This window comes from Homo sapiens, chromosome 2, assembly GCF_000001405.40.
Source record: "Homo sapiens chromosome 2, GRCh38.p14 Primary Assembly".
NCBI lineage: Eukaryota > Metazoa > Chordata > Mammalia > Primates > Hominidae > Homo > Homo sapiens.
This window is the reverse complement of record NC_000002.12, coordinates 147,444,215-147,450,295: the sequence shown is the minus strand read 5'-3', so window position 1 is coordinate 147,450,295 and position 6,081 is coordinate 147,444,215. Positions and strand designations below refer to the sequence as shown.

Below are 6,081 nucleotides of genomic sequence, written 5' to 3'. Positions count from 1 at the left end.
ATAGAATTCTGACTGCCAACTGAGTTTCCTTCCTTTAAGAGTTAATGGCCTCTAATGGCAGTTTGATTTGGAGGTGATTATGCATCTAAACTACCTGATTAAAAAATACATTTCCAAATGTGGCTGATTACCTATTTACATATTGCTAGGGTTTAGGTGAAATTGTGAAGTTTAGTAGGGTGGTGATTTTCTGAGAAACTCTGCTATGTGCTGAAGTGAATTCTGTTTTTAGCTTCGTGGTTAGATTGGGCATCAGTTAATGTTTAAATTGATAGTCATTTTTCCACTAAGTTAAAGGAACCAGTCCTGCATATATTCTTTCAATCAAGATAAAAGCAATGACAGCATTTTCTGGGTTGGGCGGAGGCTGGTTGGTTGGGGCTGCGTAGGGGGAGGGCTCTGGTAAAATCATCAAGACCAAGGTGAAATCCACAGCGTTTGTTTAGCACAGATCTGTAGATTACAGTGAGCTGTACAATGACATTTGGATCCACTTAATAGACTGCCCTCCGGTATTTTAGAGACTAATGCCAGCCAATCACACCAGGGTGATCCTAGAGAGGATCAAGACACTTAAAATGGCAAATAAATTGAATAACAATGCAGGAATGAAGTAACCTTACATATACAAAGAAGGGTTGCTAGGTAACAAGTGAGGGGGTGTCATGGCTTCAGATCAGAGAGGGCTGGTTAGAAAATAAAATGACATCCTCTCTTCTAATTAGTCCTCCTTCCCAATCACATGCATCAAGATAATCTTGTGGTTTGGGGCCTTAGCCTAGTTTGCAAAGCCCAGTGCTTTATTCTCTTTCTTTCACAGCGCCGTTTTCCTTTCTGTGCTTTAGGCTTGGTTCATTGGCTGCTGTTTCATCCTGGCTGACTATAGCAAAGCCAGTTAGCTACAAGGCACCGTGTTTGGTAGTGTCAACTCACCAGACCCAGTTCTCTAAGCAAATGTTTGCAATTTGATGAAAGACAAAGAAGGCATATTTGTCTGTATAGATAGAGAAGCAGAGCTAGCCATGCAGTTAAGTCCTTACAAAGAACTAGATGGATCAATTCTCTAAATTAGAGTTTTTTTAGCTGCACCATAATTTTTAGATGAAAAAAGAAGATAATTCAATATGCAAATGTTAGTAAAAACAAACACTTCTATGTTATATTAAAAGAATTCTTAAAGCAATGGACCTGGGAATCACCAGAGGAATTTTTCCAGACCATAAATATTCCAGAATCTTAGGTGGGGATGAACATTGTAGTTTGAAACAAACACCACCACCACCAACAGCAAAACAAAACCAACAACTCTTCTGAGTGATTTTTATACATTTACCCCTAAATGGTTTGAGATCCACCACCCTAAATTTTTGCTATATCTCTATCACTTACATTGTTATGGAATGTTCTATCTTGAATCCCTGAAAGTCCTGGTATTTTAAAAGGAAGAACTAATTATGTAAATAACATGTACTGACTACAAGAGAAAAAATATTCGCCTTACAAAATTTATTATAAAAATAAAAACAAAATATGAGAGCATTGCTTCATAATAAAGCATAGAACAAGATTTGATTCTATTTAAATTAATCAGAAAAAGTGAATTAACTAGCTTTAAATAAGAATACATTTTGGTCTTCTGATCAGTTGAGAATTGATTATTTAAGGTTGAAAAAAAGCAAACATATACTAACTTCCAGTTATCTTATTCGTTTATAAGCTACGTATTCAGTGCATTTGTTTTAGAATTTTGCAACCAGAAAGACTATGAAGGCACTGTTTAGTGCACATTTTGATAACTTCAAAAAAACCTAATATATGTATAAAAAGTGGGACTCAGAAACATTTAAAAAACCATTTCTCTATAGGAAAAAATTGAAAAATAGTAAACAATGTTTGATGTAGTTCAAGGCTAGACAATTTCTTTTCTCTGGTTTATGGGCCTATGCATTTTTTATTTTTAAATTAAATGAGATTATTATATATTGATTTTATGTTTGTTCCTCATAACTAACATTACTATATATGCCTGTTCACTACAGATATTTTGGGTCAAGTCATGATTATGATGGAGTAAAGAAGAATTTTATGGGGACAGCTGCTTTTCATGACAAATGATTTATAGACATAAAAACAAGAGTAGAAAAAGAGAAACTAAAAAAGAGTCCCTTGACTATTCCAAATAAAGGAAAAATGATGTGTTATAAAACAGTGTACATATGTTTTATTTTATACCAGAATTAATGTGCCACTATTTTATACTGAAATTAATGTTTATTTTATACTGGAATTGATGTGTGACAATAAGAAGTTGTCTTAGCTTCTAAGCCTGTTCAAAGTATGATGTTCATATGTTCACTCACGTAACTTGACATGGATAAATAGTGAAGACATTAACCCAGTGCTCCCTTCTCTGTTCAGATCTATCCTTGTCAAGTTCCTTTGATTTTCACAGAAATGTTTTGGAGATAACCTAGCAGCCTCTTTCTAATTGAGGTTCCCTGTTGTCTATTCATCTGGATTGAAGAAAGACAGAATTTCTTTTCTTGGGTTTTCTTCTATTGGCCAGAACTTCACATTTAGGAGAAGATTTTTGCCAGATTAAAGAATGACAATTGTTAAACTTCTGCCAGAATGTTTTCAGAACATAGAGATTGGGTGGAGGTTGAATTAGTGATTCTTATTGCATTAAAGATGCCAACAGCTAGATGAGGCTTTGTTCAGGAAAAATTAAATAACTTTTATTTATATCTACATTCTCCAATATGTAATTATTTTCTCCAGCGAAAAATGCTCATCTAAAAATACTTTCAGGTCAGTCTGTTATTTCTATAGATTCAACTTCACGGGATTATTACTTTATAAGCCTGCTTTGAACTGGCTGAATTTTATCTGGTGTTAGAAATCATTGAGAGTTTAGCTGCAGGGTATTGGAGATGATAAAATAATCATGGAAACAATAATTTTAGTTTGTTAGTATCTATTTCTGGCAAGTTTTCAGCTGTTCTATACTCATACAAATTATTCACTAATAGAAATCCCTGAAATATGTCTGTGATGAAGGCAAAAGTGTTCTTGATTTTTTTCCAATCAACATTTTCTCTCAGAACCAGTATCCTATAAATATACAGAAAATTCTGTTTAGATGAAACTGCCACTGGTGAACTCCATAACCAGCAGACAATCACAAAAACTCTTTGTGGACAGCACTCTTTGAAAAACTTATTTATTTAAATGTTAGAAATTTTGTGTTTTACCAAACTGCACTATATGCAACAGTATCTGACAGCCTTAAACTAACCATAATTGATAATATTAATAACAACAATGTGACAGTCAGGATAGGCTAGGTTATGCTGCAATAAGAAGAACCCCCTCCCACACACACACCAAGTCTTAGTGGCTCAAAACAACAAAGTTTTATTTCTTGCTCACAACACATGTCCACTATCATCAGCTGGGGGCTCTGCTCTGGGTTTTCTTAATCTGGAGCCAAGCTGATGGACTCTCCATTGTCTGAAGATTTGCTGATCACGATGGTAGGGAGAAGAAAGCCTCCAAAGCAATACACATTATTTTTGGACACATTCCATTTAAGGCAGGAGAATAGGGTCTGGAGGCAGAAAACCTAAGGTGGATTCATGCTGACTTCCTAGAACTAAATAGAAAGGAAAACCCCAACTTTCCACACCCAAGTAACAAGAGGAACAGAGGCTACTCCCTTTGCAAATCACCCCCCACCATACGTTTGCATAAAAGTGTAACCTTTGTAACTTCACTTCAGCCTCTGATTGGTTGCTTTCCACAACCAATTAGACTGATCGTGGACCACCACTTCATTTGCATGGGGTGAAAACCAAGCAGCCAGTGGGAGACCTCTACGGGGTATTTGGACCCTAGTAGATTCTGTAACCCGGCTCTTGAGCCCCTATGCTCAGCTGGCTCCCACCCTGTGAGGAGTGTACTTTTCGTTTTCAATAAATTTGTGCTTTTGTTGCTTCATTCTTTCCTTGCTTTGTTTGCGTATTTTGTCCAGTTCTTTGTTTAAAACACCAAGAACTTGGACACCCTCCACTGGTAACACAAAATCGCATGCCTCTGCCCAATTTCAAGGGGCAAGGAAATGCAGTCTCACTCTGGGCCTAATAGAAAATCTTGACTATTGGTGAACACAGTCAATATGAATATTCAAAAAACAATAACAAAAAAGTCAAAACATCATTTACTATTCTCTCACTAGGGGAATGAGAAAGGATATAGAGCAGAGCATATAGAGCAGAGGATATGAATGGAAAAATGAAAAAGTCTAAAAGTAAAAAGAGAATGTAACGGATAGACATATAAGAAAGCACTTCCTGGCTGGGCGCAGTGGCTCACGCCTGTAATCCCAACACTTTGGGAGGCCGAGGCAGGCGGATCACTTGAGGCGGGCAGATCAGGAACAGGAGTTCGTGACCAGCCTGGCCAACATGGTGAAACCTCGTCTCTACTAAAAATAAAAAATTAGCTGGGTGTGGTGGTGGGTGCCTGTAATCCCAGTTACTCAGGAGGCTGAGGCAGGAGAATCGCTTGAACCTAGGAGGCGGAGGTTGCCTTGAGCCAAGATCGTGCCATTGCACTCCAGGCTGAATGACAAGAGCTAAACTCCATCTCAAAAAAAAAAAAAAGCCCTTCCTTTATCTTTCTCCTGTAAACAGCAAAAGGACCAAATGTTCTCTCTTTCTCTCTGTTTCTCTTTTCTCTTGTGAATCTTCATGATCCTCTGCCTTGGGAAGGGTTCAGTGCTAATTATTTTCAGCTGAAGATGTTGCAGCTTCAGGCATTTAGTCTTGTCCAGGTTCTAGCAGTCTGTCCAGGTATTCTCAGATACACAGACGGCAGGAGAAAAATTATATCACAAATCCATCAGCGCTTTGGGAAGAGCATCCAAATGTGCATTTTAGAAGCATTTGTAAGTAATTCCATCTTTCCATAGAAAGGAGAGTGTAGGAGCAGATTGTTTGGAGAAAAGGCATACAAATTTATTTAATGTGTATACCCTGGAGCCTTTAGACTGAAGATCCAAAGGTATAGGAGGAATTGTCCATTTTAATGCTTAGGCTCAACAAGCTATGGACAGGGTTGTGTAAAAATATGATTGGACAAAAACGGTGTGATCCAATGCTAATAGACTGAGTAGAAAACCCAGCAAGGCTTGTCTGTCTAGATTCTTCTTGGCCTCTCTGAGCATATATTCCTTTCTTCTGGGCCCTTTCTGGAATGGGGGTCTTTTGGCCTTCAGTCAAACAAGATAGGTCAGATAATTTCTTTATGGCCAGTTTTTACACAGAAAGGCAGAGGGAAAATTAGAGTGATATATTTAGGTTTTATGTCTGGCTTTGGGGAAGCCAGACTGACCCACCTTGGGGAAGAGAGATTCTAGTTTCTATGGCTAGCCTTGAGGAAGAGTGGGACTGAGACAGGAGGGCAGGAGAAGATCAAAGAAAAACTTGCTTCTTTGACTGCTTCTGAGTCCATTATTTGGGGGTATTGCTTTCCGAGTCCTGATAAGAGCCAATTCTATTGATTGAGGATCTCTAGAAAACATAACTGGGCTCCTCAGTTGAAGTTACTAAGCTCCTACTATATAGTAGGAGTTTAGAATCCCATTTCCTTGGGAATCATTCTCCTCCCTTGGTACAAATTATAAAAAAGATTGATGAAGAAAAGCATGATATCCTGGAAGTTTCTCAGTAACTATGGCACTGCATGGAGTCTCACCTCCCTCTCTGTTTCCTCTTGTCTTCCTAGCTACACCATCTGTGTGTCCTTGGTAAAGAATCATAGAGGAAAACGGATGAAGGAGAGGGGAGATACTAGCTCTGATCTTTAGTTTAAAGAATGAGGACTCTGAATCTCAGGAAGATTATGTGTCTTGCCCACTTTGCATAGAGTAACCAGGCCTCAAACTCAAGTCTTGCAGCAACAAGTTGGCTGTCTTTTTCCACCACACTGATATAGTAGATGCCTAGGGACCTTAGTGTTCAGGTCATCCAAATAAATTTAAGCAAAAGGTGACTGTTGAGAAATCAAGGTGTGGACAAT

The 6,081-nt window shown here is 38.0% G+C and overlaps 1 annotated feature.

Moving 5' to 3' along the window:
• Positions 380-895: an enhancer, noted in NCBI's record as "OCT4-NANOG-H3K27ac hESC enhancer chr2:148206969-148207484 (GRCh37/hg19 assembly coordinates)". NCBI's record gives its function as "activates a minimal SCP1, AML or CMV promoter by ChIP-STARR-seq in naive H9 embryonic stem cells {active_cell/tissue: H9 hESC(naive)}" and the evidence as "EXISTENCE:reporter gene assay evidence [ECO:0000049][PMID:30033119]".